This window comes from Homo sapiens, chromosome 6 (assembly GCF_000001405.40).
Source record: "Homo sapiens chromosome 6, GRCh38.p14 Primary Assembly".
NCBI lineage: Eukaryota > Metazoa > Chordata > Mammalia > Primates > Hominidae > Homo > Homo sapiens.
In genome coordinates, this window is record NC_000006.12 from 69,036,779 (window position 1) to 69,053,882 (window position 17,104).

At 35.2% G+C, this 17,104-nt stretch overlaps 1 protein-coding gene across 1 annotated transcript in view; it reads left to right on the forward strand.

Moving 5' to 3' along the window:
* Nucleotides 1–17,104, forward strand: part of ADGRB3 (adhesion G protein-coupled receptor B3) — a 754,225-nt gene that overhangs the window by 401,497 nt on the left and 335,624 nt on the right. Inside the window, exons 14-15 of the mRNA NM_001704.3 lie at nt 11,407–11,556; nt 12,493–12,568. Coding sequence (NP_001695.2) covers nt 11,407–11,556; nt 12,493–12,568 — 226 coding nt within the window. The remainder of the gene's footprint in view (nt 1–11,406; nt 11,557–12,492; nt 12,569–17,104) is intronic.

Below are 17,104 nucleotides of genomic sequence, written 5' to 3' on the forward strand. Positions count from 1 at the left end.
GCCATGCATAATGTGACCGCAGAGACGTACAGAGCCAAGCCATGCAGAGCTTTGTAGGTCAAGGCATAAAATTTGGATTTTTTTCTAGGAGCGCTGGCCAGCCATTGAATTATTTCAAGTAAGAAAAAGTCATAATCTGCTTTATATTTAAGAATGGTTTATGAGAGAAAGAATTTAGGGGCAGGAGTAGAATAAAGAAAGCCAGTCAGACAGCTCTTAAATTAATTCAGTTGAGAGATTCTGGTGGCTTTTGGCAGGTTATGGTATGGAGACAGAGGGAAATGCAGTGATTGGAGACATGTTCCAGAAATGACAGCAAGAAGACATGTTGATGGGTGGGTTGTAGGGGGCGAAAATATCAATAGTAAAGAATGACCCCCAGATGTGTGGTTTGAATGTCTGAGTACATGGTGGCACCTTCTAGTAAGATGGGAAAGACTGCAGAAGAAAGTGCTTTGGTAGTGGAAAATAAAGGATTCTAATTAGTAAACGTTTGTTGAATTAAAGAATCTCAATATTGGCTTTGCTTATATGATTAAATACCATATTTCCTTGCATGATCATTTATTTATGAATTGTCTGTGGCTGCCTTCACATCATAATTGCAGAGTTAGGTAGTTGCAACAGAAGCCTGATAGCCCACAAAACTGAAAATATTTCTGTTTTAGCTCATTGTAGAAAGGAGTTTGTCAACTCATGCTATAGAGCATGATTTAAACCTAAAACTAATTTTAGAGTGTGTTTTTCATTTTTTGAATCCAATGGCTGTTCTTCATTCTATATAATCCTTATAAAGCCTTTGACTTCTTATAAAACCATCCTCTCATTATTAAACTATCCCTTTCTAAGTTAATGTGGTGTTGTTGTTCTCTCTCTCTCTCTCTCTCTGCCTGTCTCTCTTTCTGTCTCTCACCATTTATTTTGGTGGTATCTTTCCCTATTTATTTCCCTTTATCCTCTAAAAGTGGGTCTTTCCTAAGTTCTTGCTCTATTGTGTCATTTTCTCAATATCTTCATAGCTTCCCACCTGACTTCTTTTAGGTGTCGGCACAAATGTCAGCTTACATGAAAAGCTTTCTCTATTTAGTATAGCTTCCCAAGCCAAATCCATCATTGTCTTTCATTTATCATTACTGACCTTCTATCTCATTTTGTTTATTTGTTCCTTGTCTGTGTCTCCCCAAATACTATGCCAGTCCATGAGGATGGAGACTTTTTTCACAGGTGTATTTGTTCATTTGTTAAATTCTTAATTGCTAGGATAGCCCAAGGAATACTGTAGGGGCTCAATAGAGGTTTGTTGGATAAATACATGTATAGAATGAATTCTTCTGTCTACAATGATCTCTTTTCCTTTGTTAAGTTATAACAGTTTTCATTGCCACTGCTCTTCTGGGAATGAGTGATTTGCTGTCTTGGGAAGCCCTTGTATTTTTGCCTCCTGTTGTTTTTTGCCTGCATTGGTGCCTAACTCCTCTTAGATTCCTGATTTATTTCTCTAATAAGGTTTGAACAACCTTGAGTATCAAATATGATATCATGAATACACAGACACACACACACACACACACACCACAGTGAGTTAATAATGCTGTATATACACAAGCTCTTTGTTTTGTACTTGGTTTATTATCATCTAATGCTCTTTCCTCTGCAGGAATGCTGTTCTTAGTCTTACTTTCTGAGGAAAGAGGGGGAATTTATTTCCTAAGGCATTTCCCATATTGATTTGTTTTTAATCTTCAGAGAAACATACAAAAATGAATTCTACCACATTTTATTTTGTGTTCATGTTTGGATTGAAATCATGAATTACTTGTGTAAAGAAGATGAACATTTACAAGGATCTGTTTCTAAAAGACCATAAAACTTACTCTTCTTGAAAACTAAAAGGAAGGTGCTATAATCACCTTACATTTCCCCATTATATTATGTGTAGCATAAAAAGAATAAGCATTCAATAGATAACAAAATAAGTGACAAAACTAAGAAGTCTTAAATGATATTTCTCTTTAAAGAATAATTATCATCTTCAAAAATAGCCTGTTCAAGGTTCAGTAGTTCCTTCTTATGTAAGGTTTTGCTTTACCTGGTTTCAATTACCCACTATCAACTGTAATCTGAAAATATTAAATGAAAATATTCCAGAAATAAACAATTTATAAGTTTTAAGTTGTGTGCCATTGAGTAGCATGATGAAATTTCATGCCATCTCACTCTATCCTGCCCCAAATGTGAATCATCCCTTTGATTGGCATGCCCACACTGTCTATTCTATGCCCCCATTAGTCACTTAGTAGCCAGCATGTTTATCAGATTGACTGTCAAGGTATAGCAGTACTTGTGTAAAACCCTTATTTTACTTAATAATGGCTCCAAAGAGTAGTGATACTGGCAATTGGATATGCCAAAGAGAAAGAACAAAGTACTTATTTTAAGGAAAAAAGTTAAAGTTTCCAAGGTAATAAGGAAAGAAAAAAAAAAAAACATATGTTTAGTTTGCTAAGATCTATGATAAGAATGAATCTTTTATCCTTGAAGTTGTGAAGAAGAAAAAAGAAATTTTATATATATAGTTTGGTACTATCCATGGTTTTGGAGATCCACTGAAGATCTTGGAACATATCCTCTGTGGATAAGGGGAGGGCTACCGTATGTCTAAGATGATGTAGGCAAGCTTTTTCTGTAAAGGGATAGATAGTAAATATCTTAGGATTTATGGGCCACATAGTCTCCATTGCAATTACTCAACTCTGCCATTGTAGCATGAAAGTAGACAGGAACAACATTGTCAATCTAAATAACAAAAAGAGAGAGGCTCTCTACAATAAAAATATTTATTCATGAATGGGCATTGCAATGAGAATTAGCATGCCATAGTAAACTATGTGCATATTCAGAATAGGAAAGGAAGATAATGGTTTTTAAAGGAAAAATGAGGAAGATTACATAATTGTTTTTTTCTTTTTTTTTTTTTTTTTGAGACGGAGTCTTGCTCTGTTGCCCAGGCTGGAGTGCAGTGGTGCAATCTCGGCTCACTGCAAGCTCTGCCTCCCAGGTTTACACCATTCTCCTGCCTTAGCCTCCCGAGTAGCTGGGACTACAGGCGCGTGCCACCACACCCAGCTAATTTTTGTATTTTTAATAAAGATGGGGTTTCACTGTGTCAGCCAGGATGGTCTCGATCTCCTGACATCGTGATCCGCCCGCCTCGGCCTCCCAAAGTGCTGGGATTACAGGTGTGAGCCACCATGCCCGGCCCTACATAATCGTTTTGAGATAATTATATTTATATATGAGGATCAATAATGAGAGTGGTGCCAGTCTGAGGTTAGACAGACAGTTGCTGGGTAGCTATTGTTGCAGCAGCATATTTTTGTGTAAAGTCTTAGTGACCTTTGTGTAAGGTTGTGGGTTTTGTAGGCTTTTGTGATTCTTCTTCTTATCAGGCATTTATGCATCAGAATCCTGTCTTCATCGCTTTCCCCCACTCTATTGTCAGGTTTTTGCCTTCCTTCCTTTCTCTGTCTCTTTCTTTCTTTCTTTCTTTCTTTCTTTCTTTCTTTCTTTCTTTCTTTCTTTCTTTCTTTCTTTCTTTCCTTCTCTCTCTTTCTTTCCTTCACGCAGGTGACTCCATTTCGATTTAGACAACTTTCACAATATGTAAGTGAATAGGTGTGGCTGCATGCCAATAAAACTTACAAGAGTTGGGTATATGGCTCTGGATTCACCCTGTATACCAACATTATTAAATGCTGAGAAAGTAGGAGTGGCCTGAGAGGAAGCCGAGGGAGTCCTCAATGGAGAGCACTGAAGTCTAGCAAAGAGCCCTTGAGCAAAAGGCAAAAATGTGCCCCACTACCCAGAGATGCCCAGGCTTTGAAATGACTGATGGACAAAAAAAAAAAAAAAAAAAAAAAAAAAAAAAAAACAAACAAGAATTTGAAGTTGATGAGTCACAAATAATTTACAAGTTTATTTACCATTTCTATGCTAAAAGGAATATGCAAAATAGCTAAGTAAAGTTTCTATATACATATTACATTATTAAAAACTAACAAGTTCAAAAATGAACACATAAAATGCTACATAGTTACTTTCTTGACTGGCCTTTTAGTCTGTGTACTTTTGAGTATCAAAGAATCTTTCTCTTTAAAAATTAAGTATAAACTCCTAAGGTGAAGAATGTTTCCCATCTAAAGCTCTGTGTGAGGATACTTCTGGAACTTGGAGATCTTAACCTATGTAATGGTGATGGTGGAGATCGAGCTGTTAGAACTCTCTCGGGCACTGTGGTCCTTGGAGATGCCCTCCTAAGCTGCTTTGTTTCCAGGGAAGTGATGGCTACATGTTACTCTCCAGCAATCCTATTCTTTTTCTCTGTCCTGAACATTTCAATCCCAGCCTTTTGGGAAAGAGATAATAATAGATGAGGAGAGTAGGGTGCAGAGGACTAGTAGAAATGTCTGTGTAGATAACTGAATGTTTCTTATAGATCACTGTTGCAAAATCCTAAAATACGATTTTTCATAGACATAAAGATTGTGCTAGGCAAATTAAACTGAGCATATATATATTTCCCCTTTTGATAACCACCACTCTTTACTGGTATAGTTATGATCTCCTGATTGATAAGTGAGAATTTTATTTCTCAGATGAAATCATTATGTCTGTCTTTTATACATAGTAGAAAATGTTACGAGGCAAAATAAATTTGCTGTCAATTTGATACATAAAATCACATTGCACCACACAGTGCAAAATCACAGTGTGCCTCCTCATTTGTAAAATGAGCATCTTGATAATAATGATAAAGATGTTGCTAATAAAGATAGCTCGTAGGAATTTTTTTTTTGAGAGTCTCACTCTGTAGCCCAGGCTGGAGAGCAGTAGTACAATCACAGCAGCCTTGACCTCCAGGGCTCAAGGGATCCACCCGCCTCAGCCTCCCTAGTAGGCTGTGTGTGCTGTGTGTGCAAAGCTATGCCTGACAAATATATATGGGGTCTCACTATGTTGCCCAGGCTGGACTTGAACTCCTGGGCTCAAGGGATCCTCCTGCCTTGGCCTCCCAACATGTGAGGATTACAGATGTGAGCCACCATGCCTGGCCATGATGTTTTAAATGTTAACTAAGTGATATAATTTGGCCATGTTCCCACCCAAATCTCATTTTGAACTGTAGTTCTCATAATCCCCATGTGTCCTGGGAGGGGCCAGGTGGAGATAATTGTAGCATGGGAGTGGTTCACCCCATCTTGTTCTCGTGATAATTAATTGGTTCTCATGAGATCTGATGATTTTATAAAGGACTTCCCCATTCACTGGGCATTCATTTCTCTCTCTGCTGCCACGTGAAGAAGGACATGCATGTTTGCTTCCCTTTCTGCCATGATTGTAAGTTTCCTGAAGCTTCCATGGCCCTGCAGAACTGACAGTCAATTAAACCTCTTTTCTTTATAAATTACCCAGTGTCAGGCAGTTCTTTATTGCAACACGAGAACAGCCTAATACACTAAGATATCGTGTGTAAAGCATTTGGCCAAATGCTGTGCTAGGAACAGTGCCTAGCACAGAGGAGGCATTTGGTAAATACTGTTGAATGAAGTAAGAAATGAATGAAGATTACCAGACTCATACAAGCGTTCAATAGATGTTAGCTATCCTTCCCTTCCCTTCCAGATGCCTTTAGTATTTTACAAGGTACTTAGCATTGCTATGTAAATATATAAGTCATGTTTTAAAAAGAAATTGTTAATGCCAAGGGGGTAATGCTACATGTAGATTCAGTTCAGTCCCTGTGTGCTTGGTATGGATACACTAACAAAACAAATAGATGCTTTTCTAACACACTGAGGCAATGCATCGTTCTCTCCTGACCCTATATTTTTCTTACAGAATTTCAAAACAGTACAGGTGACCATCTAGTGATATTGAGTCATGTTTTCCACAAGCAATTCCATTTTGATAACTGGGCAATTTTCTACTATTGATGAGACAAGGTTCCATTTGTAAGTTGTTCCCTCTGTATCAACATGAAAAATGATGCAAACTTCAAATATATTGAAAACATCAGTATAAGGCCACAATAAAAAGGACAGTTTTTAAGACAGCCTTTAAAGTTATTTTGTATCCCCTTCAACATTTGTTTATGGTGATGAGGTGCCATTGCGTGAGTGTTTCCTTTAATCAACTGAGTGCTGTGGAACTTGAGTTACTGCGTTTACCACTTAGTCTGATGCTTAAATGCAATCCTTTTGAAATGCTCTTTGCAGTTTATGGTCTTGGCTGCAGTGGAAATACTGAATTTGACATTCTTGATGCAGTGATTCTCTCACTCTATTGAGGCAAGATATTTTTTTAACCTGGCTGATCTTGTGTTCCCAAATAAGGCAGCCCCTTCCCTCTGGCAGATTCTATAAGAAAGAAAAAAGAAGAGACAAGAAAAGAAGGAAGGAGAAAGAAAGAAGAAAGAGAGAAAGAAAGGGAAAGAAAAGGAAAGGAAGAAAGAGAGAAAGAAAGAAAGAAAGAAAGAAAGAAAGAAAGAAAGAAAGAGAAAGAAAAGAAGATTAAGTAAAAAGGAACCCTTATGTAACTCCCAGGTGGTACATTTCAGTACTAAAGGAGAAGCTCTATTTATTTTTAGTGCAGTTCCTGCCTTTTGTTATATGAATATAATCAACATAAGTTTTGAATATATAATCTCATGCCTAGGATCACTGAAGGACAACCAAAAAATAATGTATGCTACATAGTCAAATATGTTATAATGATGTGGACATACTGTGGGGTAGTTCTCTTGGATTTGATAACTGGAAAACCTGCTCCAGTAATAATAGACAACAGTGACATGGGACCATTCAAGCACCAAACACTGTTCTAGGTGAACTATTCTCAGCTCTTGATAGTAACATTTTTACTCTCCAACAGCTCAGTGAGGTAGATAGATAATATTGTTCTCATGTTACAGAAAAAGACATTGAGACACAGAGAGTTTAGGCAATTTGCTCAGTCGCACAACTTATAAGATGAACATGGAATTTATCTTTCAAGCTGAAACTTTTGAGACTGATAGAGGATGCTATAAATAAGTATACAAAGCAGCAGGAGTAATTAGCCGGGCGTGGTGGCGGGCGCCTGTAGTCCCAGCTACTCCGGAGACTGGGGGAGGAGAATGGCGTGAACCCGGAAGGCGGAGCTTGCAGTGAGGTGAGATGGCGCCAGTGCATTCCAGCCTGGGCGACAGAGCGAGACTCCGTCTCAAAAAAACAAAAACAAAAACAAAAACAAAGCAGCAGGAGTAAACCAGAACAGATCTGTAAAATCTAGGATAAATGCTTACCCTAAAAAATCAGGGATTTGAATATTGGATCCAGATCATAAGTCTGTGTGAGCTACTCTAGTGACCACTGTTCTTATATTTTGGTCTTTGTCCAATTTGCTCATCCCTACAGCCTTCATCCCTCCACCCTTACATTCTCGCTCCTAGACTTTTTCTTTCACATGCCTTCCATTCTTCTCTGTAATGCAACTGATGCATCAAATTACCTCCAGTTTGTATGTGAACCACTCACAACCAGGATGAATAAGACAGACTCCTCATCCTCCAGGACCTCAATACAGCCAAAGGGCCAAAATTTCATTATTTCCCTCAGGGAAAAGGTTAGAATTATTATCCTGCTTTGATGTATCAAAGAAGTGCTCATTGGTTACCAAGAAAAACAGCTCATGTGCTTTTAAACCTATCTGCAAAAATTCCCTATGCTTTCTGATGAACAAAAATCTATACTGAACCTGAATCGTTTGAAAGTTTGGCCAATAAAAGACATGATGCTCTTAAAGGAATTTTATGCTGCCTATCCAAATTCAAAATGAAAGTATTAAAATTGCAAAATGGAAGTGCAGCTGGTTTTTCTCTAAGGTTTATCAGTGATGAGTCACCTATTTTTATTGCATAAGAAATCAAATCAAGTGTTGTAATGAAAACACGATACAGTGAATTTAGGATAATTCTTGTAGCACTCAAGATGTGCGTATTTGTTCAGGGACACTGAGTCCTTTGAGATTTATTTTAAGTACTTTAATATTCTGTAAGAAAGGCTTTTTTTCAATGTTTGAAGAAAGCTGCCCCATCTTCTAAACACCCACAATGACTGGTTTTAATTCAGGAATTGTTACAGAAGCAGGATATATAGATTATGCACTTATGCTTTTTATTTATGTCCCTTTATCAGCATGAGGCACATATTTACTTACATGTAGTTTAAGGCATTACGTTTTTAAATCTTACCTCTTTTGTATTCACTTAACATATGAGCTTCCTATTTCCCTAAAGATGTTAACAGCATCAAAATTTTACCTGAGTGTTTTGACAGTTAAACTCTGAAGAAGGAAAGGGATTGAAGGTCGGATTGTTCTAGTGTCTTGTACAAGAACTGGAAAAAGAAGTAAAAGTCATCTATAAATTACCTTTGCTACATGGAAATAGGTTTTCTCATCTATTACTAAGGGATCATAAAGAACCACATTGCTATTTTAGACATCTGCCTATCTAGCGTAGAGGTAAATATGTATAACTTTAAATTTCATATTTGTAAAAACATGTATATTGATAATTTCACAGATATAATTTGAATCTCATCAGTGTATGAAAGTATATACTTTTCATAATGGATTTATTGAAAGATTCATACTACTTTAAGAACTATTTTGCTAAGAGAGTAGATTTTAAGTGTTCTCACCACACAAAAAATGAAAAGTATGTGAGGTAGTGCTTATGCTATTAGCTCAAATTAGCTATACCACAATGTATACATATTTTAAAACAACATGCTTTACATGATAATTATACACTATTTTGATTTTCTAATTAAAAATAAAATGAAATAAAATACCTTAAGAAACAGACATATTTCAGGATCTTAGTTACCATCCATGCAGACATCTCAAACCACTTAGAATGTGTACATACTTATAATAGTAAAAACCTCCATTACATTCCTACTGTAGTTAATAAATACGTGTTTATTTTTGTGCACTTCTCACACTGAAAACTATGCAATTTAAGGGACTTATTGCATAAATTAGTGACCCTAATTGATTTTTCCATTCCTTTAATCTAGACTATGTTCAAAAGTACAGTCTAATTTATATAATCATAATTTAACAGCTAACGTACCTCTAATTGAAGAATGAGTGTATTTCATAAAGTAAGACCCATGCATGTACAACTATATCAATTTATGGATTTATGAATATGGTATTAGACGAGCATTTATTATGAGTAAAGTGATGTATGGTTCATACAGAATATCATCCACTGGTTATGCCTTTCTGTTTGTTTTTTGTTTTCCATCTAATGTGTATAGAGACAGAGAAATTATTAGACCTCAGGGTCGAATAATGTATCTTTTATTCTCTTTTATAATAGAAACTAATTGTATGGCAGTCAGAAAATCTTTATTTCTTTTCAGCAGTTTTTGGAGCAAAGAAGTGAAATAACTTTCCTCTAAACCCCAAGACATCAAAAGTTAGAGTTAAGGCATATAACAGTAGATACACGTGATTCTACACATTGAATAATGCTTAGAGGACTCAAGAAAGAATGTCCTACTAACTTGCTGACCTGCTCATCTATATACAGCAGGGATTTGGACCCTGCAGGAGAGATGAACTGGATTATTTATGGACAGCAAAAAGTATATTGTTTTAAAATTTAAAGAAACTATGTTAGAGCTGGTATCCCGAAACAGCATTTAACATCTATAATTTATTTATGTGTTACCCAGTATCTTCTTTCTTTTAACATTACTTACAAAGTACTTTTTAAAGCTTAGTATGTCATATTAGAGGATAAATGAAATACCATCCTATGCTGATAATGGAATGACTAATCACCTGAAAGAACTTTAATAAAGTACAATTTCACTAATGTGATATACTAATACATAACCAATTTAATTTGAAACTAAGTAGTGCAGTAATATATTTATACAACTAATATTGTTAAATTCTTAATTTTCATCCTCCTGATTTAAATTACAAATTTTTAAATGAAATTCACTTATGAGGAGTGTAATGAATTATTTATTTATTTTGAGACGCAGTCTTGCTCTGTTGCCCAGGCTGGAGTGCACTGGCCTGATCTCAGCTCACTGCAAGCTCCACCTCCCGGGTTCACACCATTCTTCTGCCTCAGCCTCCCGAGTAGCTGGGACTACAGATGCCCACCACCACGCCCGGCTAAAATTTTTTGTATTTTTAGTAGAGATGGGGTTTCACCATGTTAGCCAGGATGGTCTCGATCTCCTGACCTCGTGATCCACCCACCTCAGCCTCCCAAAGTGCTGGGATTACAGGCGTGAGCCACCGCACCCAGCCAATGAATTTTTACTTTAGCTTTTCAATTGCAATAGCTTTTACAATTGTCTGCATCATGTTTCCATATAAGTTCTCCAAGGGACACTTGAAAATATGATATAGAACAAGTGTGGACCTATCCAAAAGTTTTACAAATTACACTTCATTATTGAAAATGCTTATAATCTAGACATGCTGGAGTATTTATCATCATAGTTTTATTACACATTATAAATTTATATGTAATATAAATTTGTATATAACTATTAAATATAATAAAATATATTAAAGTATTACTAAACTTATCATTCATACATTTTCTGATATGTATTATAATATTTATTGGTATTAAGGACACAATTCTCTGTTTATATAATATATATTTATACACACACATTTTTACTTTCAATTTTAGAGAGAAGTTTTAAGAATTATTATTAATCTATTTGATCACTATTTCTACATATTATTTTGGTTTTGCAACTCTGACATTATTGGTACCTTTATTATATAGATTCTGACAGTTCTATCTCCCAAAGTAATATGGCTTTGTTCTCCATTTCTTCAGAGTACCCTATCTAATCCATGAAAAGTTTGTTCCAAAGACAATGTTCAAATGAAAATGCAGAAAATTTCTTCTTAAGACAAAATTCAGGTTTAAATGCAAATTTCAATCCATTAGTTCAAGTCTGTTAATCAGAATGTTTTTAAAAAATACAGTATGAGTTTCTAACAATTAAAATGGAGACCAACCATGAACAATCAATATAGCAGTGCCTGTTAATACTCTCAGAATATCCACTCCATTATTGACCACCATTGTATGATACCCACTGAAAGCAACAAAAACTAAGACTGATAAGTAAAATTCAGCAACTTTAATGAGAAATTTTGTCTAATAAGACATAAGTTATTTTGTTGCTCTGATAAATACAATTTTGACTTGAAATTTTATTTTGAATATACTGCAAGATTTACCTTGATCAACACTGATTACACTAAAATGTAAAGCAAGTTTAATTGAAATTATTATTTCTTTTTTAATAGTGGCTAGTATTCAGAAGCTTCCTGCAGCCTCTGTTCTAACAGACATCAACTTTCCAATGAAAGGACGGAAGGGAATGGTTGACTGGGCAAGAAACTCAGAAGATAGGGTAGTAATTCCAAAAAGCATTTTCACTCCGGTGTCATCAAAAGGTAAATATCTGAAATAATATGAGCTTGAACAAGACATTTTTGATAAGGTCATTTAATTAGAAATTAGGTATAAATCTTCATACATTAAACAGTTTAGAAATAGTCTGTAATCATTATTTTAAACTAATTTTCTAAATATGGACAACTTATTCTCGGTTTCAGAGTCTCTGAAAATTTACTGAAGAAAACAGTCTATTACAGTATGAAAAATATACAAGTGCAAATTATCGACCTGAGTTTGACATGGTCAAGTTTCAATATTCATGGTTTTATACCCGTATAAAGCATGTGGACTAATATTTTACCTTTAGCTATTGAAATGTGTTGTATTTTCCATGCAATGTCATTTTTATTTCTGCCTCATTAAAATTTGCTTCGGTTTGAAGATATTATTTTGGCATACAAAAACAAATTTAATACCTGGATGATAAAATAATCAGTACAACAAGCCCCCACGACACAAGTTTACCTGTGTAACAAACCGGCACATGTACTCCTGAACTTAAAGTTTAAAAGAAAACAAATTTGAGAAAAAATTAAGTTTTTAGAACATTTTTAATAGCCTTTAAAATTAATGGCTCCTTTCAAAAGTGACATCGTACTCACTTTTGCAGATGTCGACCTTAAAAGGTAAAAATCCAAAAGAGAATTGGCTCTCTTTTCTGATATCGTTGGGAAATTAAACTCTTAAATGGAGACTAAGGCAGCTTCTTGTCTCAACCTGGTAAAGGAAGTTTCCTTCGTGATGCAAAACTATAGAAAACACATCTTTGAGAGCTACCATTAATGTGCATGGTTAGGAATGCATTTCTTTTTACCAGGCTTTATCTTTGCCTAAGGAAGTACTGGAATTATCTTGTAATTAGCAGATTAAAGTTTTATAAGACATAGTATTTTCTTGCTGTTTGCTAATACTTCAAAATTTATTCTTTCTAGAATTAGATGAATCATCTGTATTTGTTCTTGGCGCAGTCCTATACAAAAACTTAGATCTAATTTTGCCCACTTTGAGGTAAGCTACAAAGTAATAAACTGTTGTAATTTTGTAAATTATTCCAAAATGTGATTATAGCTCATTCTATAAAAATAGTCAAACAAGCTGTGGTAATATGAAGGGATTTTTCTTAAATGAAATAGAAAATACAAATTTAATGAACAGGCTATTAGCAATTATGCATTTCAAAACAACTAGAAAAGATAATTTTGGTGTCTGACTGTAGCCCTGCAAATTCTTTTGTAACTGATAATGCCTTGCCTTGATACTGAAAGAAAAAAGAAAAGAAAAGAAAAATCACAAGTGTCTATAATAGAATGGGTCATTGTAAAATTGATCTGTCTTCTCCCTTTAGTTGTACTTAATGGTACTGTTCATCAACATGACGTGAAATTAAAGGAGTGTCATGATGACTGGGAAAACATGGTATTGTTTATTTGCACAAGATCTTAGTTTGCTTTGAAATAAATTTTCAATTACAGTTACATTTTTTTAAAAAATGCTGCTGTTTATTTAGAGGACTATTTCTGGAAGAAATCTATTAATTTCTTTCCTCCCAGATATTAAAAGCAATTACAAATAGTAATTCTACCAAAACTAACTTATTTGCTTTACTGTCTTATCTACTATACCAAATCTCACAGAAAACATCATTCACATCTACTTGGATTGTGATGTTATCACTCATAGTGACCTGTTTCTCCACATCACCTCGTTTTGGAAGATAGAGATAAAGTTGTTTTAGTTAAATACGATCACAGTTGGACTTCTTTGTTATACCCTCATAAATAAAGCTTTACATTTTTGGAGAGGAAAGAATATAAATGATGTGTGCAGTTATACTGCGGACAAAACAAATAGTCTAATAAATAAAAACAATTAGAGTTCAGTGCAGATGAAAAAAAAATCACCCAAGGAAGCAGCAGTGATTAGGCTTGAATCTTTAGAGAAAATCTTTCTACGTGAAGCACGTTATTAATATAGGTGGAGAGTCATCCAGAGCCCCTGTGGTTGTCATGCAGGGTCTCCTTCAACCATAGAGACAGCCATGGGAAGCTGAAATTTATTTACCTCCCTTCTCCTCTGAATAGAATTTAGACTTCCTCAATTTGGATCTATTTGTGTTTGTGTTTTGCTAAGAAAAAAGTTTGAAAACAAAAAAGTCTACTCTCAGCTTTTCCAGTGGTTTTATTAAAACTCATTGGTATTTACAGTTACTCACAGATAAAATTTAGTCATAGTTACACTGCCTATATCTTTGTGTTTGATGTTGAGGAGAGGTATGCTAAAGTTAAAAATGTTCAGATAATCAAAGTTAGTCACTTATTTCAACAGGGAATTCGTTTATATAAAGCTTATATTTTAAGAACTCTAGACACTAACTTAAAATCAGGTGACTTGTGTTTTCATTTCAATTAAACATGTTGAGAATTTTATAAACTTGTCCAGTCACTCAGTAATTGTGTGCCTTCAGTTCAACTTTAAAATAGAAATGTATTTATGTGCTACATTCTCCCTATTTGCTCTTGAGATACATAGTGAATACAAATGAAATATTCAACATAAATTTTTTAGATTAGTTTCCCTCCTAGATGTCCAGCAATGTTGCATTATGATAATCTTGTTCCATATAATCTCATAGCACTCACTCACCTACACAAATGAAGTCAGGTTATTCCAAGTTTTATAAATGTATGCAGTCAATATAATTGGAAATTTCCTCAGGAAATTTCCCAAGGGATCCCAGCCTTTTTTGTAAAATGAAAAAGAAACATTTAATTAGTGTTTCAACTTAAAAAAAATTTCATGACAGAGGCAGTTTGTCTCTTACAGCTTCTGGATAGATTAATGGATACATTATGGATGATTTAATGGATATAGTAGAGACTAGTCTTATGGACTGGCTCCCCTGATGCCACGTGTAACATAAAGGGATTCAGATAGACCACTGGGCAAGTCACTGACTTTTTTTAATAAGTAAAATGTGGTAATTGAACTTAAAATTTTTTTCACCTTCAGAAATTATATTTTCATTGCAGAAAGTTTCTACATATTCTTTAGATTGAAGTCCTTAATAACCTCTGTATAAGAATTACAAATTTGTTTACCTGTACATTCTTTGTATCCATAAAGTAATTTAGTAAATGTCTATAGGACAACTAAATAGTGCTTAGATCATTGACCAGATATAAGGACAATAGAATGCTCAGGATGAAATATTTGTTAAGTACTCTTAGAAAGGTGAAGTACTAGTGTTTACTTCTCATTTTCTTTTATCTCTTAAAGTAACATAATGTGACCACTAAGTACCCTCGAGCTTGTTTTTCTCCTTTTCAAAACATTCTTCCAGAAAGTCTAATGAGTAACTGCACCAATTATAGGTCTGCTAAATGAAAATATACTTCTTAATGAACAAGGGTGATTCTTTTTTCTACAGTCACTCAGCAAATATTTACTGAGCAGCGTCCCTGCTAACAGTACTGTATTAATTCTTTTAAACTTCCCCTGCTATCGCAACTCTCAGAACAGTTCTTAATAAATGGTCAAGGATTTTTTTCTGTAATAATTAATTTTCTTTTTTTTTGAGACGGAGTCTCGCTCTGTTGCCCAGGCTGGAGTGCAGTGGCGCGATCTCCGCTCACTGCAAGATCTCCCGGGTTCACACCATTCTCCTGCCTCAGCCTCCTGAATAGCTGGGACTTCAGGCGCCCACCACCACGCCGGGCTAATTTTGTATTTTTAGTAGGGATGGGGTTTCACCATGTTAGCCAGGATGGCCTTGATTTTCTGACCTCGTGATCTGCCCGCCTCGGCCTCCCAAAGTGCTGAGATTGCAGGCATGAGCCACCGCAGTAATAATTAATTTTTCTATCTGATAAAATATCGTATATAAGACATCTTTAAAAATAAGGCACACAGAAGTTTAATGTTTGTACTATGAAAATATTTTAGGACCAGAGGATTAAAAGATGTGTATTTTGTAATTTTACTATATGTTTGTGTGAATTGAACTCAATAGGAAAGATCTTCTTATTCAACATAAAAAGTACAAATTCATTCTATGTGTTCAGTTATTTACAAAGTTTTATAAAATATATTCCTTGTTGAGGATTTTACTAATTATCTGTTGAAATATGTGAAGCCACGTTTGTTATACACAGAAATAATAAGAGTAGTTTTGCTGTTAGGTTTCCAGAAATGGTATATTTTGGTATAATAATTTTCATAATTTTTCTCATAGAGACTATGAAGGAGGACTTGCTGTAATGCTTTGAATAAATATAGTTTAGAAATTGTCCTTCATACAAAGACAAAAATAATTTTGCATGTTGACTCTCTCTTTTATTGAGATATTTCTCTTCTTCTCTTAGCCCTAATATACATTCAACTGTCCCTTGAGCTGCAATTTTTATTTTACTATTCAATTGTCTTCCCTTTTAAAGTTAAGTAGGTTCAGATTGTTACTTCAACTGAAGGAAATATGCTTCAGATGAAGTCCATACTAAATATGTGTTATTCTCAGCCTCTCAACTTCCTTCTTCAGAATAATTTCTTATAGATAGAAAATATGGATGGGCCAGGCATGGTGGCTCACGCCTGTAATCCCAGCACTTTGGGAGGCCGAGGCGGGTGGATGACTTGAGGTCATGCATTCAAGACCAGCCTGGCCAACATGGTGAAACCCCGTCTTTACTAAAAATACAAAAATTAGCCGTGCATGGTGGTGTGTGCCTGTAGTCCCAGATACTTGGGAGGCTTAGGTGGTAGAATCACTCGAATCTCAGAGGTGGAGGTTGCAGTGAGCAGAGATCCCACCATTGCCCTCCAGCACTGGGTGACAGAGCAAGATTCCATAAAAAAAAATGTATAGAACCATAGGATATTAATGCTGTAAGGTCTTTTAGGGTTTAGTGTGAGCTAGAACTCTCATTTTATAGATAAGAGAACTGAGATCCTTATCGCTTAGGTGACCTGCCTAAGATTATATGTCCATTAGGTAACTGAGTTATAATACAACTTATCTTGTTTGCTAAAACCAGGACTCTTCTACTATATCTCATTCCCTCTATTCTGTTACTATTTATTATTTTAAGCAATACAAACCATAGACTTCCATGATAGCACATGAGTATATCTGTATCCATTGCAGAAAATCTTGTAAGAGCCAGAGTGGGTGGCTATGTGTGGGCAGTTTCAGGGAGCACTGGGGCTGGCCTGGTGGCCCCAGCCCAGGCTGTCAATACCAAGGCTTGAGTTTGTCACACCTCCCATTCCCCCTTGACCACTTATGTGCATGTCCAGCCCAGTTCAGAGGGTCCTTTGAGAGAGTGAGATATTGACACACAGACCACATTCACATTAAGGAATTAGAAAACATCCATATCTTGGCAAGCTCGTAAACTGCTCTGAGAATTTTAACTTACTTTTATAGCATTTTTGGAGGCCAATTTGGCAATACCAAGAGCCTTAAAAGTGCTTTGTCATTGATATAGCAATTCTACTTCTAAGAATTTATTTTAAGGAAATAATCTCTAAGGAAATAGAAAAGTATAT